The sequence below is a fragment of the Homo sapiens genome, chromosome 2, assembly GCF_000001405.40.
Source record: "Homo sapiens chromosome 2, GRCh38.p14 Primary Assembly".
Classification (NCBI taxonomy): domain Eukaryota; kingdom Metazoa; phylum Chordata; class Mammalia; order Primates; family Hominidae; genus Homo; species Homo sapiens.
The window spans coordinates 196,547,419-196,571,069 of NC_000002.12; the positions used below are offsets into that span (position 1 = coordinate 196,547,419).

The 23,651-nt window shown below is 38.2% G+C and overlaps 1 protein-coding gene across 8 annotated transcripts in view; it reads right to left on the reverse strand.

The window, feature by feature from the left end:
• Positions 1–23,651, reverse strand: part of HECW2 (HECT, C2 and WW domain containing E3 ubiquitin protein ligase 2) — a 399,483-nt gene that overhangs the window by 353,347 nt on the left and 22,485 nt on the right. For 2 of the 8 annotated variants that reach the window (XM_047445198.1, XM_047445195.1), the window contains exon 1: positions 5,266–23,020. The exons of the other annotated variants lie outside the window; for them this stretch is intronic. The gene's annotated coding sequence lies outside the window, so the exon portion shown is untranslated. Of the gene's footprint in view, positions 1–5,265; positions 23,021–23,651 lie in introns of those variants that run through there. 8 annotated transcript variants of the gene reach the window in all.

Genomic DNA, 23,651 nt, shown 5'->3' on the forward strand with positions numbered 1-23,651 from the left:
TTAAACAATGCAAGGAACACCTAAAAGGGCAAAGTCATAGACTCTATCAAACTTACAAAATAGGTTGTAGGTGTACTTTTGTGTCCTCTTACAAATAAAGATTTGCTTTCATGTCTGAGGGTGGGGGCATTGATAGGAGACTACAGTTTTCACCTACCTCTAACTAGTGGTGTGTATTAGTTGTGGATATAGATTCAGGTGCCACCACACAGAAACCAAGAAGTAAGGTGGCCTGAACAGGAGCAATATTTATGTTTCACATTTAACAGTCAAGAGATAAGCAATACACAGGAAGGGCTTCCACTTCTACTTCCAGGTGGCTGTTTGAAGTCTCACCATCTCCCAGTCAGCAGGAAGGAAGAAAGAGAAATGGCTAGATTTTCCCCCATTGGCTAGATTTCGTCACATGATCATATCCAGCTTCACAGTCAGTGAGGAAACTCATCTCTATACCAGCAACTGAGGGGCAACTGAGTGGAATCATATTGTAAGACATCACTTGGGGGACCTCTTCTCTGGGCAACTCTCATCACCTGAGGGAATTCGAGTGAGGTCTTCTTCATAGCCTGGATGATTTTAATCCAAATGCAACTCATTGCTTAAGTAACACCAGTAAGAAATCCACTATGGGCCAGGCGCAGTGGCTCACACCTGTAATCTCAGCACTTTGGGAGGCTAAGATGGGTGGATCACTTGAGGTCAGGAGTTCAGGACCAGCCTGGCCAATATAGAAACCCTATCTCTACCAAAAATACAAAAATAAGCCAGGCTGTGGTGGTTGCCTGCCTGTAATCCCAGCTACTCAGGAGGCTGAGGCAGGAGAATTGCTTGAATCGGGGAGGTGGAGGTTGCAGTGGGCTGAGATCTCGCCAGTGCACTCCAGCCTGGATGACAGAGCAAGACTCCATCTCAAAAAAAAAAAAAAGAAAAGAAGAAAAAGAAAAAAGAAATCCACTGATCTTACATAATACAGATGCTTACAAAAAGAAAAAAAAACACCAAAAAAATAGTCAAGGCTCTGAAAGATAGATAACTATTATATTAAACAAAAGCTGGATGACTTGAGGATAAACTACATCCTTGCTCCCAGCCTTCAGTCACTTTAATTAGAAATTCCTGAGTCACATGGGAAAGGTAGCTGCCCCATTCTACTTTGAAAAACCCCAAAACAGGTCATTGTAATAAGTAAAGCCACTGATTAAAAGCTAAAATGTTTGTCAGTCTTCTGAACTGTTACTTTACTGGGACTGCCATAAGAAATACCACAGCCTGGGTGGCTTAAACAACAGAAACGTATTTTCCCACAGTTCTGGAGGCTGGAAGCCCACAGTCAAGGTGTTGGCAGGGTTGGTTCCTTCTTGGGGCTGTGAGGGAAGAATCTGTTCTACCCTCACCTTGGCTTATAGGTGGCGGTCTTTCTCCTATGCCTCCTCACATAGTCTTCCCTCTGTGCGTGTCTTTCTGCCCATATTTCCCCTTTTTATAAGGACACCAGTTATACTGGATTAGGGCCCACCCTAATGACCTCCTTTTAGCTTAATTACCTCTTTAACGAACCTATCTCCAGTTAAGGTCACATTCCAAGGTACAAGGGGTTGGCACTTCAACACATGAACTTTGCGGGGGACACAATCCAACCCCACAAACTTAGAAACCCTTTACATCTCAGACCAAATAGTAGGTACTCACTATGATAGTCATTTTATCCTCTTAAAAGCCTTTTTATTGGAAAATATAACAGATTTGGAAAATGCTAAGACATCAATCTACAGCATAACAAATAATTATAAAGGAAACACATGCATAACTGCAATCCAGGTCAAAAAATAGAGCACAGTCAGCAGTCTGGGACCCCTGTATGCGCTTTCCTGGTCACACTCCCCTCCCTCCTCCAGGAGGTCTCACTATCGTTACTTTAAGGAAAATGACTTCTTTTCTTTCCTTCATGGTTTTACCACTTTTAAATGTATCCCAAACATAATACAGTTTGGTTTTTGAACTGCATGTGAGTGAAACGATATTGTAATACATTATTTAGAGTCTTTTTTTTACTCAAGATATTTGTAAGATTCATCCATGTAATTACATTTTTAAATGGTTTCAAAGAATATTCCATTAACCTAAATCCAACTTAGCTGGTCAACACTACATTTTCTGATATTTGCCAGTCTTGCTCTTTTTTTTTTTTTTAACATCCCCACATCCTTCAATGTCTACATCAAAGTTATATCTACACATTGAAACTACTATGACTACAACTGACTTTATAGTTTTTATCTTACAAAATCACTTTTTGTTTAAAGCTCCTACATAGACAGATTATAATACAAGCAATTTTCTTCAGCAATGCCTCCACAGATATTTTCCTAGAAAAACTGAAAAAGAAATGATACTCATAGCAAAGTATATTTACCAATCGACCTGATATGTTTCAGGCAATGCTATAATATTCTAAACTGAACTGGCCCATAGACCCTTTCTCCCAAAGTGTGTAAATGGCAAGGTAAAGGTGAAAGAGGGCATGATTCAGTGGTTGAAGGAGACAGGCATTTGCAGGGTCTGGCTGACAAGCTTCACTGATAAACACAGAATCTTCAATGTAACCTGCCAGACTGTGCTGACTTTAGAGGCTTGACCAATTCTTGTTGGAGTTTCAACAGAGAATATTTGCTTCTTGATCGATTCAACTTGAAGTTTCCTCAGTGCTCTGACCTTGCCTACACAGGCTGGAATTGGACACTAGTTTGGTTAACTTATCTACCATCCATATAAAGGTAGACTGACTGACTCTCTTTCACTTCATATTCTAAGCTTGGACTCTAATTCCTGCTTAGAAGTCTCCATCCAGACTTCATTTCCTAGTCCTGATGATCAGCTGTATTTTCTGATTGTAATTTAAATACAAGTTCGAACAGTGATGTGACTCCTCTACGAAATGAATCACAGTTGGGAAGTTGTTTTCCCTGTCATTCCAGATATATCTCTATGAAGTAGAAATGAGCTAAGTAAAAAAAAAAAATTAAGAAACATGAAATTTTCATTGAAAATTCTTTAAGAAAATAGCTTTTCCTTTTAAAATTACTATTGCTTTTTAGTCTCTATAAATGTTATTAGGAATAAAGTGAAAGCCACCCTTATTTCTAATACTCAGAGACATTTTACCACATATCCTTCCAGACTTTCTTTTCCATTCATAAATACACAGGTAAAGGGATAACAAAAATGAGAACATGTTATAAATGCTATTTTGTGACTATCTTTATTGCCTTAAAAATATATTGCAGAGACCACCTTGTGGCAATAAATTTTTCCTTACAGTGTCATTTTAAATGGCAAAATGGAATTCTATTGTAAGAATGTACTATAATTTATTAGGCATCTATTTAAATAATCTCTTTCAGGAAGATGTATACATGATCAGTGAGAACATCCAATTCTTATCTTCTGCCTAAGCAGTTTGTTATAGCTTAAGACCAAATACAGTCAACTGGAAGAACTTTAGTTACAACCAAGAAAATTAATATAAAAAAGAATTTCTAATAAGATCAATAAAGATTTTAAACCTTTCATGCCTTATTGCTAGCATGTACACAAGACAGTGCCAAACATTCAAACTTCCAATTAGGATGAAATCTAAGTGTTTGTCTTTTTATCCAGTAAAAATTCCATTGCCTCCAAAGGCAACTAAGAAGTTAAATGAAATCCAAATGTTCCTCTCATCTCCATCACAACAGACCAGATAAATAGCTCCATAGGCTACATAAGTTTAGAAGAAGCCAAAGAAATGCAATACTTCAGGGACCAAAAGAATAAAAGTTTCACAATGAAAACAGCTAAGAGACACACCCACTTCATTTTATTAGGAAGAAACACAAACACACTTACAGCCAAGGACAGGGGCAGGAGAAAGTTAAGTGAAAAGAAATAGTAAGTAAATACTCTTTTTTGCAAACATTTGTATGAGACCTTAAAAGACCAAAAAAAGTCAAGCTATTGTTAAAAAGTGACAGTCTGTAGATAACACAACTATTTTGAATCACTCTACTCTAGAAAATGGAAAGACTGATATTCATAGACATAACCTAGCAGAACTTGGCTTCTGTTTACTCTAAAACTATTCCAGATGATAATTCAAAATATACAAATGTCTGGATTTAACATGCTTCTTTATACTGGTATAATATAATTTTTCCCTGCGCATACTATATAAAGAAAGATTTAACATCTCTGCAGTTTCAGGTCATCTAAATACAGTATCTGATAACTTTGTTTAAATGGTAAACATGACTATTAATTTCTTTTAAGCTTAGATGTACAATAATTATTCCCTGATTTGAAAGAGAATCAATATGAATTGAAAATTACACTAAATTCTGAGGAAACAATAATATTCAGTCATGCATTCTTTTCATAGGCCTCTGCAATCTGTCTTCAGGATCCAAATTTGCCTGGAGCTCTCCTCTCCAAGGTCATCAGCTGACCTTCTTCATATGCAATACTTCTTCATTTTATTTTCCTAGCATTTCTTACTGTCAACTATCACTTCCTCAGCCTTCATGACAACATACCATCCTGAATCACTTCTCACCCTTCTCTACTTATCTGGGTTAATTCAAACATTACCCAGAGCCTATTAAGACAGCGCCACAGGACTAGGTCCTACAGGTAAAGAGGAAACAAGGTATGACCTGTCTTTGAAAAGAGAGATGCAGGGAACTAATATTTCAACCCAAAATGATAAGAATTATAATGCATGGCCAAGTTGACATGAGAGTACCAGGGAGAGATATTTAAGTTGTAAATCAAACTTAAAGCTTTATGGTTAAAGAAAGCTTCTTAAAGGCTGTGCAGCTGACCAATCAGGTTTGTGTGAGAAAACGTTTATATTCTCCCAACAAAGTGACCCTTAGGCCCTTGGCTGCCTGGAAATCCTTCTAAGTTTTCTCCTGGAAGCTTTCTGGTCCACTTTCATGACAACTATTTCTTACTTTCCCCATTCTCCTCAAAATTTCCACACAGCCTTTATCTGTCTCACTCACAGAAGATGACCTAGCCTCCATCTTCAGAGAAAACAGAGATATATTCATAGTCCATTAGCAAAGAAGCCTTACTATTAAAAGATAAAGTGCAGAGTCAGGAGCATGGTACAAAACAGTTCTTTTATTGTTCCCTAAATCACCAGCTCAACTCTTCACATAATCACCTTGAGAGGCCAAAGGAAGTCCTTCCTCTCTCCCGCTCCCTATGGTTCCTTAAGTGTCTTACCTCCTCTTCCTGAGCCTGAGGCTTCCTCTCATTCTTTCTCTGTGGCTGGCCAAGCATCTCCACCATTTGGTTCCATTAGATTTTACTTCCATGGAAAGGGTAGAGGCCAGAATGGCAGTGAGAGGGTGAATCTTTCCTCTTCAGTGAATCAGGGAAAGGAACTTCCAGATCTGGCCTCAAAATGTCTCCGGCATTAAGGAAGTCTCTAGCAAAATAAAGTCCCTCTCAGTATAACCCTAGAACCCAGAAAGTCTCCAAATCTCCATCCCACCCGAGGAAAAATGTTTCCATTACCTAATCTGGATAAGGCCCCAGGGGGAGATGACTGTGCCCCAAGCCCCAGAAGGGGTGGGCGAGTAGGGCCAAAGGGGAAAATATCGCATCTTTTCTCACAGGCTTTTGTGTTTTACTATAACTGCTTTCTAGGAATCAAATTTAAATGAGCTAGAGGCTAATAAATTATTTTTGCTAGTCACAAGAAAATGTATTTCACATGCAATTGCTCTTCTTCAGAAACACCATTTTGTTTGAATTCCACCCAACAGTATGCACTACATGTAGTAATTCTACTACATCTGAAGAGGTTTTGGAACCAAGTTAATTGAAGTTGCAGGTTAACAAATAAAGGCAAAAACTTGTCTATAACTTCCCTGTAACCTGTGGGTACTTGGCACTGAGACTCTTTCAAGTTCATTCATTCATTCATCAAATATACATGGAGCACCAGATACTGTGCTAGACCCTGGGCACACAGTAGAGAATAAAACAGATATGCATGCCACTGCTTAGAGACTACTGAGGAGACAGATAATAAGCAAGTAAGCAGAGCATTACAAATGGTAATAAGTGTTTGCCTTACACCCTTCAACAAAATTATACTTCCAGGCACTACCCCACTGCCATCAGGCTCCTCAGCAGGATGAAGCAGTGACCAAGAAAACATGGTAGAAAATTGCAGCAATTTGTTGGTCTAGGAGACATCTGCATTTAAACTCTGATTTGCGGAACAACAGTCTGTAGAAGTCTTCAGGCCAGTGGCTCACTAGACCAAAGAAAGCTTCTTATAGAATTGTATACTGAACAAACTGATGCTCCACATACTAGGTAAGTTTTTAACCTAAAACACCATTAACTTGAGCCTCAGTAATATCCAATCAGTAATATCCAATCCACACAAGCCTCAAAATATATTTATGTGCTAGTGTCACTTCCACCTAACCAATAAAAAACTCTTCAGTCAGTAAACTTGACATCTCACTCAAACAAAATAATACAGCCCCAAATGGCACAAAAGCCAAGAGGTTGTTTGCCAGGGAGGGTAGCTCCCTGATATCTAGGATAGGGCTGGAGGGCTTCTCTTAAAAAGATTTTTGGGCCGGGCGCGGTGGCTCACGCCTGTAATCCCAGCACTTTGGGAGGCCGAGGCGGGCGGATCACGAGGTCAGGAGATCGAGACCACGGTGAAACCCCGTCTCTACTAAAAATACAAAAAATTAGCCGGGCGCAGTGGCGGGCGCCTGTAGTCCCAGCTACTCGGGAGGCTGAGGCAGGAGAATGGCGTGAACCCGGAAGGCGGAGCTTGCAGTGAGCGGAGATCGCGCCACAGCACTCCCGCCTGGGCGACAGAATGAGACTCCGTCTCAAAAAAAAAAAAAGATTTTTGAATTATGATGGCAAAAAACAACTTGTGACTTAGGCTCACTGGCTCATCATCGTATTGATGTTTTCACAGTCCTGGAATCTTGACAAATGGCTCAATGACCTATGAAAAAACTGAAGAAACATCTACTAACTAAATGTTAGTAAAACTAAAACTCAGTTGAAGCCCTGAGACCTTAATCAAAGAATGAGGAGGATGGTCAAACAGCAGAATTTCCTTCACCTAGCCAAAATATGTGCCCCACCTCCCAGAAACTGGGCTTTGGACACAAAGGGGAGCAAACTACACCCTTAACCTGCTTTCTAAAATCACTGAGAACTGTCCCTTTCTCTCAGTAAGTCTTTTCTTATTCCAATTCCACTTTAATTTCCACCAGCTTCATCTTCCAGCATGCAATGGGTCTGGGGCTTTGATCCATAAGTCAATCATCGGAGAAGTTTAGCCTAGAAGAACGAAGAGCAGTAGGCTCTGCAGTGTGCAAAATTGTTGGCTTGCAAAATACTTATGTTTTCACATCATTACAGAATCAATTCCCGCCCTCATAAAAAGACCTGAACAAGAGACCAAAAAATCCCTGCACGGGACAACAGATCCACAGCCAAAAAGGCCAAGATAAAACACAGTTGGGTCCAGACTGTGCACAACACTCTGCCCTCTACTTTAAAAGGCCAAAGGGGGATTGTCAAACCTTCAAGGTCGCCCAAAATACAGACACTGAGAATAAGGATAAATATGGCCTAAAATAGGAATGAACAGATTCCACTGAAGTAAGACTAAATAAGGAAGAAAAAACAAGCAATTTTTTTTCTGTTTGGACTGCTATAACAAATACCATAAACTGGGTAGATTATTAGCAACAGAAATGTATTTATCATCATTATGGAGGCGGGGAGGTGCAAGATCAAGTCCAAGATCAAGCAGGCAGATTTGGTGTCTGGTGAGGGCTCCTTTCTGATTCAGAGCTCCTTCTTGCTGGGTCCTTATGTGGTGGAAGGGACAAGGCAGCTGCATGGGGCCTGTTTTGTAAGGGTGCGAATCCTTTTCATGAGGGCTCCATTGTCATGACCTAATCACCTGCCAAAGGCCACCTCCTAATACCATCACATTGCAGGTTAGATTTCAACATACGAATTGGTGGTGTGGGGACACAAACACTCAGATCATAGCACATAGGTCCTATCAAAACATCTTGCTGCATAAAAGACACAAGTGATATATAAAATTTTACTTTATGATAAGAGTACACTTCAGAAAAATGGGAAAAGAAAAAATTATTCAGCTAAAGGTACAGTGACTTTAACTGCTTAGAAAAAAAATTTGTAGGCCCCATAAAAACAAACTCCAAAAGAATTAAAGAGTTAAGTATTTTTTAAAAAGAAAAGACAGCATCATATCACCTACTCTGAGCATCCTCCTTAAATGGCATTAGTGGTTTTCCATTGCTCTTACAACAAAGTATCAAAATCCTTAACAAGACTTACAAGTCCCCACAAGGTCTAGCTTCAAAACTCCTTTCCAGCCATTTCTTGACATAATCCTGCTTTATCTTTCTTGATCTCTGTGCTTCAGCCACAGTGGCATCTGCCAGGCCTGAAATGCCTTCCTCCACCACGTCCTTATGTGATTCAACTACAATCTTCCATCAAGGCCACTTCCACTGGAAATCCCTCCCAGACCTCCCCAAGCAGGTCAGTTAACCTCAGTAGACATTTTTATTTTACTATTTACCTCTCCTTCATAATACTTAGCACAGTTTTAATTTTATTTGTGCAAATTTAAGAGAAATTAAGGCCTATTTTCTTCTTCTTGCAGCTTCACTGAGGTATAATTGACAAATGAAAATTCTGTATATTTAAAGAGTACATGATGTTTTGATATATGTATGCATTATGAAATGATTACCAAAATCAAGCCAATTAACATGTCCATCACCTCACATAATTACCTTGATTTTGTGGCGAGAATATGTAAGATCTATTCTCGTAGCAAATTTCAAGTATACAATATATTATTATTCACTATAGTCATCATGCTGTACAGTAAGTCTCCAGAATGTATTCATCTTATAACTAGAAGTGTGTACCCTTTGACCAATATCTCCCATTTTCTCCCGTTCCCGACCCTTCTACTCTCTGTTTCTATGAGTTGACTTTCTTTAGCTTCCATTTATAAGTGAGATTATGCAGTATTTATCTTTCTGTGCCTGGCATATTTCACTTAGCATCATGTCCTTATTAAGGTCAATTTCCTACCAGACTGAAGCTCCAAATGTGTAAGGTATATTACTTTTTGCCTGGCAATTGTCTTAGCCCTGCCATATAAGAGACATTCAATGAACATCTGTGGGATTAAAGTACGTGGATGAAGAAATGAACTAAAACATAGACGATGGTGTAATCTTGGAGTGGAGATAGATATCCCAAGCATAACACAGAGGCAGAAACAAAGAAGAAAAAGAAACTGTTACATCTGACTACCAAAAACTAAAAATCTCTATCAAAAATATTGTGAACAAACTTAAAAGGCAAATTGAAAACTATGGAAAAATACTTGCAGTATTCCTGATTAAGAGTTGATAGCCTTAAAAATTAGAGATTTCTATAAATAACTAACTCCCACAAAATGTTCAAAGGACACAGATAAGCAAACTCATATAGAATAATAGAGTTTCTGAACATAAAAAGTTCAATACTAGTAGAAAATATTTAAGTTTTACATAAAAATGGTATTTTTTAACCCATTAAATTGAGACTTTTTAAAAATTATGTCTGGCAGGGTGCAGTGACTCATGTCTGTAATCCCAGCACTTTGGGAGCCCGAGGTGGGCGGATCACCTGAGGTCAGGAGTTCGAGACCAGCCTGACCAACATGGTGAAACCCCATCTCTACTAAACATACAAAATTAGCAGGGCGTGGTGGCACATTCCTGTAATCCCAGCTACTTGGGAGGTTGAGGCAGGAGAATTGCTTGAACCTGGGGGGCGGAGGCTGCAGTGAGCCAAGATTGCACCATTGCACTCCAGCCTGGGCAACAAGAGCAAAACTCCACCTCAAAAAAAAAAAAAAGTATCATGTCCCAGTGTCAGAAGGAGTAAGCACCAAATTTCATATATTCCAAGTATGAGTATAAATTTGTAGAACTTCCCTGAAAGACAGTTTTGCAATGTGCACAAAAGTGTATACAGCTTTTAATCCAGTAATTCCTCTTCCAACTCAGCCCAAGGGGAAAAAAAAATTCACTGGAGAGCTCCTAATAACTAATGAAAGACTGAAAACACAAATATCTAACAATAGAGGAAACAAGTTTTAGGGCATAAGTAAAATAAAATGACATTAAAATCATGTGATAATATTTCATGGGAAAATACTGCTAATATAATGAGTGAAAAATGCAAGTTTAAAACTACTACAATTTTGATTTGCTTATGTAAAATATATGCATGTAGGGAAACAGAAGGCTGGGAAGATGTACTAAAATGTCAGTATCTGTTATTAGAGCATTTATGTGATTTTTTTTCTTTGTTTTATTTTACATTTTCTACAATGAAAATTTCTGTTTTGTAAGCAGAGAGAAACCAATAGCAAAAAATTAATAATACTTAACACGATTATAAAATATGTTTATGGCATGCCAAGCACCATATACTAAACACTTCACATATATTATTAATACTTTATTTATTCTGTAAGGTAGATACTAATCCTATGGAATAGGTACCATTATAATCCCCATTTAAAAGATGAATCAATGTAATTTAGTCAAAACAAAAAATATTCTTCATCCAGTAGTTTTCTTAAATCTGATTAAAGTTATTTTTCTAACATTTTCTAAACAGCAACCACTTAAAAGTTAAAAAATAACCAAGGCACTACTTCAATACCTAAAATCAGAGCTTTCAAACTCAGATGGGCTATGGGTTCAGATTCAGAGATAGAGAGAGAAAAGTAATGGAAGAAGTCTACAGTCAAATATTCACAGGTAGAACACTAATAAGTTAGGATTTTGTGCCACACCTCCTGGTTTCCTGATATAAGCAGAGTTGTGAATTTGGAGAGCTTTACATCAAACTCTACACCCTTTATAATTATAAAGAAAAATGTCCTTTCCAGGATACTATATGAGCATGAGCATACTTTTTGAAACAAAATGTTGCATTTCATAGCCTTCTTCATAGAAAACAACACCAGGTACTGCAACCATTTGAACGTGATTAATTCACCAAAGCTCTTTTTACCACTTGCTATTGTTTTAAGCACGTAGTCCCTTTTCCTTGATTCTAGCTGACATGTTGGCGTATCCCTTGTGTAAAATGGAATATTCTCAGCTTTCTGGACATGTAATCCCTGCTGGCTCTGATCCAGCTGATGAATCTGCCAGGTTGACAGCATTGTGCCTTTGAAGGCCTGTGTCTGCCACAGCAGCAATAACAGAAGATGATGCTTACCTGGCAAAGAATCACTTGAAAATACATTTGATGGGCAAAACTATCAGAAGCTACTTAAATCCTTACTTAGTTTAGCTGGGGCAGGCATTTAAAAAAACCTGTATGGAATTGTTTAATATACCAAATGGATTAGTAATGTGAACTTACCATTCAATGGGCACCTACTCTATGCCAGGCACTATATTAGGCTCTTAATACATCATCTCATTAGAGTCTCACAACAACCCAGGGAGATAGAAATTAACCCTATTTTTACAATTATGGAACTCAAAAATCAGAGACTAAATAACTGCTACTAGGTTGCAGAACTAATAAGCAGGAGAGCTGGGATTCAAACCACATCTACCTAATTAGAAACACAATGTTCTTTTCACTACACCATACTGATGCCCTCTGCCAGCTCACAACACCCACAGTTCCCATTAGACCCTCCCACCTGAGTGAGCCAGTAAGATGCACCTGCAATCTGACATTGGCTTAAAGTATTTTCTTCAACAGCACATACACCAGCCCATCAGAGTCCTACCTGACATGTCCACCCTTCAGAAACACGTGGGGATGTCTCAGCTAAAGGGAGGAGGTTCAATTCCTTCATCACCCCCAATATAAGTAAGACATCTAAGAAAGCTAGGAAACCCTGATATATATCAAGCTGCCATCAACATTATTGAAGCTAACGTTGGGCTAATGTGAGACAGCAACATCTGGAGTCCAGTTGATTACTGCTCATAGGGTTATGCGACAAGCCTGCAGTGTCATGGAACAGACGAGGCTCTACTGTGCTTAAGGAGCTCTAACAAAGTTAGGATGCAAACAACAGAGGCATGGCCCCAGCTAAAGCCTTTTTTCTTGGAGTTTTCTCTTCATGCTGAATTATAACTTCGACAATTTAGCCACCTTTAGAAAGAATACAGAAAGCAGAAAAAGGGGGAAAGGTTTTGAGCACTCTGGCTTATGGCTAGTAAAATGACTACAAAAATCATTTTTTGAAAATAATAGTCATTGTATTTGCATACATCTTAAATCTCACAAGGTACAGTGTGGGAAGGTCAATATTAAACAATTGTATTGAGCCAACAATGTACAATAAATATCTGAATTCCTTTCACTCTAAAAGGATTTTCCTAATTATGCTATTTAGTATCTGCAGGTACTTCACAAGATGAGTCTTTATCTCTCTACCAGTTCACTTGCAGAGAGGGACGGTCCCATGAAAATGATTTCCAGAGCTTCTCAAACCTAATTTGTATATGAATCACCTGGAGATGGTGTCAAAATGCAGATTTTGATTCAACAGGGCTGGATTAGGGCCTGAGAGTCTGTATTTCTATGAAGCACCCTGATGATGTTGCTGCTGCAGGGACCACCCTTTAACAGCAAAGGTCTCACTCTTGTTGCCCAGGTTGGAGTGCAATGGCGCGATCTCGGCTCACTGCAACCTCCACCTCCCAGGTTCAAGTGATTCTCCTGCCTCAGCCTCCCAAGTAGCTGGGATTACAGGTACCCATCACCATGCCCAGCTAATTTTTGTATTTTTAGTAGAGACGGGGTTTCACCATGTTAGCCAGGCTGGTCTCAAACTCCTGACCTCAGGTGATCTGCCCACCTCGGGCCTCCCAAAGTGCTGGGATTACGGGCCTGAGCCACTGTGCCCAGCCTTAACCACTGTTTCTTATCTGAGATCTTCATATGCCCGCACTCCCTGTCCCTGTCCCAGGGAACTGAGCTTTAAAAAAAATCTTAATTGCATGTTCATTTTTTTGGATAATCTAAAAGATATATATTTTACCAGTTCAGTGACTTCTCATTTACAGAAATAATTGATACAATGTGTCCAGAAAATCAGTTTCTCAAGTCAGCTTTTCTCAAAGTGGACTCTGCAGACATTTCCTTGGTAGATCCACACAAATAATTTTCCCACAAAAAAGTCCATACTGTTGCGGGAAGTCAGGGACCGCGAACGGAGAGACTTGCTGAAGCCGTGACAGAAGAACATAAATTGTGAAGATTTCATGGACATTTATCACTTCCCCAATCAATACTCTTATAATTTCCTATGCTTGTCTTTACTTTAATCTCTTAATCCTGTCATCTTCGTAAGCTGAGGATGTATGTCGCCTCAGGACCCTGTGATGATTGCATTAACTGCCCAAATTGTTTGTAAAGCATGTGTGTTTGAACAATATGAAACCTGGGCACCTTGAAAAAAGAATAGGATAACAGCGATGTTCAGGGAACAAGGGAGATAACCATTAGGTCTGACTGCCTGGGAGCCAGGCAGGACAGAGCCACATTTCTCTTATTACCAAAAACGGGTAAGAGAAATATCGCTGAATTCTTTCCCCAGTAAGGAATATTAATAATTAACAGCCTTGGGAAAAGAATGCATTCCCAGAGGAGGCCTCTAAAATGGCCACTCTGGGGGTGTCTGCCTTATGCAGCTGCAGATAAGGGATAAAACACGCCCTGGCCTCCTGCAGTGCCGCCAGGCTTGCTAGGATTAGGAAATTCCAGCCTGGCAAATTCTAGTCAGATGTGCTCTCTGCTCTTGAACCCTGTTAAGATGTTTATCAATGACAATGCGTGCACAGTGGGACATGGAACTTCATTAGTAATTCTAGTTTTGCCCTGACCTTGTGATCCCGCCCTGACCTTCTGCCTTGTGATCTTTTGTTGCCCTTGAAGCATGTGATCTTTGTGACCCACACCCTATTCGTACACTCCCTCCTCTTTGAAAATTGCTAATAAAAACTTGCTGTTTTTTACGGCTCAGGAGGCATCATGGAACCTGCTGACATGTGATGTCTCCCCCGGCCACCTAGCTTTAAAATTTTTCTCTTTTGTACTCTTTCCCTTTATTTCTCAGACCGGCCGGCACTTAGGGAAAATAGAAAAGAACCTATGTTGAAATATCAGGGGCTGGTTCCCCTAATACATACAATGACTTCTTAGTTAGAGATTTGCCTTACCCAGCAGCACAGGCAACATCCAGCTACAGGGAAAGAACTGATGTCTTGGGATGGGCAAAGATTAGGAGGAAAGGTAGATTCTGAGACTCACAGAGCCTGATGTCCTACCCTGCACACCTCTAAAATAGTTTACCAAATAAGTGGTCTGTGAGAACTTAGAGGCAATGAAAAGAGGCAATCAGTAGAAAACAGCAGGGTTTCACTAAGAATAAGTTATGCCAAACACGTTATTTCCTTTTGACATGGTTAGGAGAATGGTGGGTATGACAACGCTTTAGACAGCATATTTAGATGTCGGCATGGTATGAAGTCTCTTAAAACACTCTTGTAGCCAAGAATAGAGACATGCAGCCTAAATAATGATACGCTGAATAGATTTGCAGGTGGTTAAGCAGAATATCCAAAGACAATGAATTGGTGGAATAAATGTCAGTCTAGTAAAAGACTCCTTCATAGTTCCTTCCCTTTCCCAGCTTTAAACCCTCCCACCCTCCAACCAAGTTAGAAACAATAGCACAAGTGATACATACTAAATTTCTTACATGTACTTTAAATGTATAAAGAAGTAAAACCACTTATACCAGAATTTTACAAAGGAGGAATTCAGTATACTTTACAGCACATTCTTTTGACAATATTTAAAATTTAATGATATTCTCCCTGTATGAGTTATTTATTTAAACTGTTTTCAATGGCATTTTCAGTAGCTAAAGCTGAAAGAGGGCTTGGAAATATAAAAGACAGGTAAAGTGGATACAGAGAAGCAATTTAGATATTGTCCAATTAAAATGTGGGAAAGATAATGGAAAATGAGCACAAGTAAACCCCAGCCTTATCACTGCATTTCCAAAATATACAAGAAGCAGGAGGGACAGAGCAGAAATACATGTAAGGCGGGCTGTCCCAAAGTATTTCTCCATCTTAGGCATCCATTCACAGAGGTTCCCAGGAGGCAGCACTCAGAATTTTTTATTCGAATCACAAATCAGAAAAGTACCAGCTTTGGCCAGGGTTGGTGGCTCACATCTGTAATCCCAGCACTTTGGTAGGCTGAGGCAGAAGGATCACTTGAGCCCAGGAGTTCAAGACTAGCCTCAGCAATATAGCAAGACCCTGTCTCTACAAAAAATTAAAAAATTAGCCAGGTGTGGTGAGGCACACCTGTAGTCCCAGCTGCTTGGAGGCCAAGGTGGAAGGATAGCTTGAGCCTGGGAGGTTGAGGCTGCAGTGAGCCATGAACGCACAATGTACTCCAGCCTGGGAGAGACCCTGTCTCAAAAATTAGAGAAAAGTACTAGCTTTGAGAAACACACCAGAAACCAGCCTCTTGATATGCTTATAATCTTCAATAATTAAGAGGTATACACTTATTTCAGTTATCACTGAAACTATAAGAAGAACTTTCCATCAAACAATTGATGATAGAAGAAAATTAGTTTGTGTAAAATGTCTAAACCACTTTTACTGTTTTATTATAAAATAAATGTTATAACGTTATCTTAGTCACGTAAAAAATATTCATTCCTGGCTGGGCACGGTGGCTCACGCTTGTAATCCCAGCACTTTGGGAGGCCGAGGCAGGTGGATCACTTGAGGTCAGGAGTTTGAGACCAGCCTGGCCAAAATGGCAAAACCCCGCCTCTACTAAAAATTGAAAAATTAGCCAGATGTGGTGGCGGACACCTGTAATCCCAGTTACCCAGGAGGCTGAGGCAGGAGAATCGCTTGAACCCAGGAGGCGGAGGTTGTAGTGAGCCGAGATCACACCACCACTGCACTCAAACTTGGGTGACAGAGTGAGACTCTATCTCAAAAAACAAAAACAAACAAACAAAATTCATTCCTGAATGCAAGAAAGTGCTCAAAGACTACAGGAGTCAAGTAAAGAACACAGGAACCAGCTTGAAAAGGCACCCACTAGCTAGATCTGAATAATTTGTGCATCTAAAAATATAATACTGATCATCAAGTATTAAATATAATACATTTAACTTAAAAATCCATGAATCCATATTAAGGGGGAGTGGAAGGATGTGAGGGAAGTTCTTGCAAAATGCTATCTATTAAATGAAAAAGGGATTACAGAATTAGAACATAATCCCTTTGCAATCTTCACTGTAATTAATTCAGGCAAGAATCACCTATGAATGCCTAGAAGTACCTGGGAAAATATTATTGGGGAATAGGATATTCACATGATCTCACACAGTATCATCCCAGAGACTATTTACTAATCACAAAAGGACACAGGTACTTGTATATGGGAAAGCTACAGTAGTTAACACTTAACCAAACAATCCCATTCCACAATCACCAGTAGCAGACATCCTGTGCCTTCTGATGGGAAGTAGTAGTGATATCACCTCAGCTGTCTTCTTGCCAAAAAAAGTGAATCTAAAAAATGGGAAACAGACAAATCCAGAATATAGAACATCCTATAACTGGTCTACACTCTTCAAATTAGTCATAATTTTAAAAAAAGGCAGGGGAATTTTTCCAGATTAAAATGAGATTAAGAGGCATGACAATCAAATGCAATGTGTGAAATTTTATTGCATCCTGGATCCTTAAAAAATGGGATAATTCAACATAAAATGTACATGAGATGATATTATTGAATTATGATTAATTAGGAAGATTCAGCAACAGTAATAACCACAAAAACAATAATATTAGGGATGGTAGGATAATGTCCTTATTCTCAGGAAGTGTGGAAGTATTCAGGCAGGATGTTTAATGGTATCTATAACTTATTTTTAAAAGCTTTCTAAATAAATATATCACATACATAGAGAATCAAATGTGACAGAATGCAACAGATGGATCTTATGAGTGCTGCTTTTTCTTTTTATTTCAACTTTTTTTGCAGTTAGAAGTTTTTTTAAATTAAAAATTGAGGGAAAGAGGAAATATTTTTAATTTAAACATTCACTACTGTTTTTTCTTATTCCCTCTTAACCTTATTTTTTCTCATAAAAACTTATGTTCCTCAACCTCATGCCTCCTACTTAACTTATCCTTGGAGTTTGACAGCAATTAAAGTCATCTCCATCCTATACATTCAATATTCCAAATTTACATAGATTATAATTTAAAATTGAAAAATAAAATAGCATATCAAATAAAAGCCTAATGAGCAGTACAGTCTAGTAGACAATACATTAAAAGTTGAGTGGTAATTTGTTTCTATGCTTTGATTTTTTTTTTTTTTTGAGGCAAGCAATTTAACTATTTCTTCACAGAGATAGTTAAACGGAGCCTAGCTAATAATGAATTAATTAAACAGAAAAACCTTTTGGTAAAATTCACCACTCTCTTTTGCCCAATGCTCCCCACTAACTTCACAATGAAGTCCAACTTAACTAATTGCAAGGCCAGTGGCTGCAGTAACCCAACCCCTATCTTACTACATCTAAACATCATCTTTAACTCACCCACAAAATAGTCAGAAGCTATGCCAGAGATCAAGGAAAAAAATTACCAAAAGCTGCAGGTTAAATCAGTGAAAACTCAATCTAAATTTGGGGAATTTAATCTAAAATTGATGATGACAAAGCAGATGGCACACATATCCTCTTTCGGCATTTTGCCCAAAAAATAGGAAACCAAAGAAGAATTCTTATGCAACAAATGAACATGCTTTAGAGATGCTAAGTTTAAAAAAAAATTTAACTTGACATGTTCTTTACTTTGTTTTCCCATATGTCCTTTGAAAGTGGGGAATAGATGAACAAATAGATTTAAAGTTCAGCTTCCTCATCTTTAAGACATATTTCTAGTGGATACAGACTGCTTTAACCACATTAACCACCAATTTCACAAAACTAGTGAAAAATCTCTGAATAACTTCCTAGTCACTTTTCATCTTTGCTTCTTGACCAAAAACTGAGTTCTGCTAAAAAGTGCTTTCAAAAATTATAATGAACCTTAACAATTAACTGGCTGAAATTAACAAGTAAAGAAACCAAAACCCAAAATAAAGTTATCTTTCTTTATTCAAAAATAATAATTGTCTATAAAATAATAAAGAATAATTGTTTGTGGATTTAAATGTTTCATTATAGCTATCAATGACAAATAATGTATAGTACATGCGAATAGTCATAATACTAGGTTACTTTCCCTACTTTCAAACTCAAGCAGTTTAAAATATTAGTAAATTATTTCCACTTTTGTATATGTTTCAGCTTTTGTTTTTCTTTAGGCTAGTAAAAACTTTATCGTTTGTTTCCCTCAGCCAATTACCAGGAAACAACTTTTTAAATTACATAGGCATTTTAGAATTCTCACCGCCGCATCAAATCCATATGCTAAGAATATCTTGCCAAATAAATGAATTGCTTTTAGCGATGACCCATTTTAGAAGGAAAAAAAAAACTAACTAAAATTTTTGCAAGGGAAATTAAATTACTCTAATGGACTACTTACCTCAAAACCTACTTATGCTTTATCTACATTAAAACCATTCTAAGAAACAGTGTAAATGGTTGTTCCATTAATAATTTTGCTTTTTCAAAAATAAGCAAAAAAAAAAAAAAAGAACCCAGATGTTATGGTGCTGTAATATCTACGGTCTCCACGTATTTAGGTCTGCGCCTTTTACTGCTTTAAATAGTAGAATTTTTCTGAAGTAAAATAAGCATTGCTTACAAGTTCTTTATGCATTAATAAACTAAAAAGCAATAGCTACTCTTGTCGTTAGAAAAATATCTTCATAATTAAAAACTAACATTTATTGAGCATATTATATATACCAGAAACTATACTTTTCTTTTTCTTTTTTTTTTTTTTGAAATGGAATCTCGTTCTTGCTGCCCAGGCTGGAGTGCAGTGGCACGATCTTGGCTCACTGCAACCTCTGCCTCCCCAGGGTCAAGTGATTCTCCTGCCTCAGCCTCCTGAGTAGCCAGGACTACAGGTGCCAGCCACCACACCCAGCTAATTTTTTTTTTTTTTTTTTTTTTTTTGTATTTTTGGTAGAGATGCGGTTTCAGCATGTTGGCCAGGCTGGTCTCAAACTCCTGGCCTCAAAGTGATCTGCCTTCCTCAGCCTCAGAAACTATACTTTCTATGTATTACCCAATTTTCGAGACAACTCTCTGAGGTAGATAAAATTATTACCACATTTTAGAGAAGAGGAAGCTAAGATTCCGAGGAATTAAGTAACTCTGGCAGATTGCTAGGCATTCCCCAAAATCTAATCTCTCCTTCTTTCCTAGTAACAGCATTTTAGCTGGGTACATGACCATCCATGGAGAGAAAACACCTGCCTGCCCCTGACTGAGTGCAGGCATAGTCATAAGATTAAATTCTCACTGATGAAATGTTAGTGGAAGTAACATGCCATTTCCACATCTTGTGCTTCCCTCTGTTCTCACAGACTGGGGTACAAATGTGGATGAGGCATCTCTGACCGCACAGATGACAAGGGATGGCAGAGCAACAAAATACAAGAAATGGGCAGTGCTGTCCATCCTGACCCACCTGTTTCCCTTAAGTAGAAATAAGAGAGAAATAACAGAAAGAATGTTAAGACAAAAATAAGCTTCTGTCTTTACTGGGCCACTGTGCTTTGGAGAAGTGCCTATTATAGCAGCTTAGCTCATATCCAAACAATCATAGAAACTGGTGCCAGAAGTGGTGTGCTGATGTTACATAAATATAAAATATGAAGCGTTGGTTTGGCAGTTGGGTCCCTCAAAACAAGAAAGCAGATGTTGCTAACTGAAAAAGGTCATAAACTGGTGACCCTTGTTTGTCACAGTAAAATGCCTGCCAAACCTGTCACCTGAGACTCCCTTGAAGGCAGGCGGAATCACATGCCTATAGAGCCTATTGCCCTAGGGAAAGTAGATGATGGAAAGCGCAGGAATTAGATATTTCTCTGATTCCATATATTCAACCAGAATTAATTATCTAACGCTGATATGGGCCATTATCACAAAGAAATCCTGGAAATAATTATGTTCTTTGGCAAAAGTCATAGTCTTCTTTATCTTCTACAATAAAAATTTCAGTAGTAGGATGTCTTAATAAATCTGTTTCTAGATTAATTTCATTCCTCCCTAATGGGAATTAAACTGAAAGCCCTAAATAAAGTCTTCTCACATTTTGGAAATTAAGAAATGGAATATTTTATCTTAAAGCTTGAAAGAAAATATTTTAATCATGTTATCCAGTAAATATTTTAAGCACAGTTATCCAGTAAATCTTTCATTTTACTTTAACCTTACACATATCTAAAAATAAAGTAATTAATAAATATAATATTTCAAACATATTTCCTAGAAACATTGAATTGTTCTAATTGAAGGGTTTGCATGTTTTGCTACATTTGTTCTCTCTTTATTACCTTTTCATTTCCAAATTTTTTCAAGGATCCATTAAAACCTCATAACATGAAGTTGTGTGTCTGTTTCTTTTTAAAAATTTGGGAAAAAAGTCATTAGGACACTCAAATATATATCTAAATTAAAATCCTCTATGTTATGATAGTTACTTCTGTATTCCCATTATATGAAATCTTACATCCTAAAAGCATCTCAGACAATGCAGCCAACTTAAAAACTCAAACAGTACTTAGTTTCGCCCACTCCTATCTACTACAAAATGGAGACCTGAAGTGTGAGTAAAATACATGGGGGAAAATAAAAAGCCTAACAAAGCACTAAGCCAAAAACTAGGAAATACAGACAGCCCCTTACTTATGATAGGTGAGCTTACTTATGATTTTTCAATTTTACCATGGGTTTATCAGGACATAACCCCATAATAAATCCAGAAGCATCTGGACTTAACCATGGTTTGACTTACAATTTTTCAGCTTTACAATGGTGTGAAAGCAACATGCATTCAGTTGAAACCGTACTTTAGATTCTGAACTCTGATCTTTTCCTGGCCTAGCAATATACAATGTGATACTCTTGCAATGCTGGGTAGTGCGGTAAGCCACAGATCCTAGTCAGCCACACAATCGCAAGGGTAAAAAACCAATACTTACTAACTTCTTGAAGAGCACTACGCCCACTAAACCATCAACAAGTATAGATACTCCAGGGTCCCCTACCAGCTACTCTCGAGCCTCATCAGGAGACAGAGAAATTGATAACCTGGTCGCTGTAGCATCCCCAGCATCCACAATTAATTTTAGTTCAATGCTTCAAACATCCCAGGTCCAGGGTGTTTTCAGTTGTGTATGTTAATTGTGAATGCCCATATAACCATCCTGTTTTTTACTTTCAGTGCAGTATTCACTAAATTACATGAGATGTTCACAGCTTTGTTATAAAATAGGCTCTGGCTGGGAAAGGCGGCTCATGCCTGAAATCTCAGCACTTTGGGAGGCCAGGGAGGAGAATCACTTGAGGCCAGGAGTTCAAGACCAGCCTGGGCAACATAGTGAGACCCCATCTCTCCAAAAACTTTGAAAAAAGAAATAGCTAGGCATGGTGGTACACATCTGTAACCTTGGCTACTCAGGAGGCTGAGGCAGGAGGCTCACTTGAGCCCAGGAGTTCAAGGTTATAATGAGCTATGATTGTGCCACTGCACTCCAGCCTGGGTGACAGAGTGAGACACTGTCTCTAAACTAAACTAAACTAAACTAAACTAAACTAAAATAAAATAAAATAGGCTTTGTGTCTCAAGCATCAACTTCTCCTTAATAAATAAATACCATAAAGAAGAAAATGACTTCTGTCTACTTTTTCCATATGATACTTTTTTATGCTTCTCTATTCTACACACATACATTTTTCCCTTGAGAAACCTTAATTTTGTCATATTATTTATCTTCCTGCTAAGACAGGGAAAGTTTACAAATAAAGGTACTAGATCCTAACATCAGTTCCATCACTAGGGGGACCCTCTATCTGAGACTTCCCAGGACCCCCGATTTGTGCCTATTGTCCCAGTGTAATTATCATACTCAAAGATGTACCAGGATGTAGGATAAATTATAATGAACACACTATCTCTCATAAATGAGCTGTGTGAACTTAAGCAAGTTACAAAACTTCTTTAGGACTCAGTTTCTTCTGTGACCAAATGAGAATAACACCTATATGTGAAGGCACATGGAAAAGTGCTATATAAACCCAAGTTATTACTAATAAGGACACAAGAACCAGGCATGGTGGCACATGCCTGAAGTCCCAGCTACTTGGGAAGCTGAGGTAGGAGAATGCCTGAACCCAGGAGTTCAAGCCTATAATGCGCTATGATCACACCTGTGAATAGCCAACGCACTCTAGCCTGGACATCACAGCAATACCTTGTTTCTGAAAATAAAAGACACAAGAGATATCCAAATGCATTTTCAGAAGGCGGCACTGGCACTGTTACCCTTTAGCTTGCTTTGTATGGTTCTAAAAGTCTCAATAGATATGACTGCAAACACAGAAAGTCATTAAACGTTGTAAGGTCCTGTTTTCTTAACTATAAAATAAAATGGATACACTAGATGATCCTTATGGTACTTTACAACACGAGAAATGTAATTACCATAATCATTTTAGTCAATTATCTCAGATTATAATGAACATATCATTTATATTGCACCTATCAAACCAGCTACCTTCTGAATTCACAAATTTATCGACGTCAGAGTCATAAATCAAGCTTGCAAACTTATCTGGTTGGGCAGCACAGTATTTTATTGAAATGTTTAAATTATTTGCTCAACTATCACAAGGACAGAAACCCAAACACTGCATGTTCTCACTCATAGGTGAGAATTAAACAATGAGAACACTTGGGACACAGGGTGGGGAACATCACACCCCGGGGCCTGTCATGGGGTAGGGGGTAGGGGGAGGGATAGCATTAGGAGAAATACCTAATGTAAATGACGAGTTGATGGGTGCAGCAAACCAACATGGCACATGTATACCTATGTAGCAAACCTGCATGTTGTGCACATGTACCCTAGAACTTAAAGTATAATTTAAAAATAGAAATAAATTATTTGCTCACTTCTCAAAATAAAAAGATTTCACATACAAATTATTATTTCTGATTTTTCTTGAAAAATTGGCATATCTAGCTAGTATCATGGGACAATAACCAGCAATAGCCAGTAGAAGCTTTCCCTTTAGAAAGTGCATGTGAGGTCCAGTTTGCCAGACTCTTCACCCCATTTGCTTCACGGACTTATGTTACCTGCTTGTGCAGTGCAGGTATTTGAGTTTGTTTCCCTGATGTTCAAAGAACGTATGGCCACTCACATCTATCTCAATGACTAAAACTGTAACTTTCTTTCCCTAAATATATTTCCCCAATAACCTACTAATTTATCAATGAAATTTAGACTAT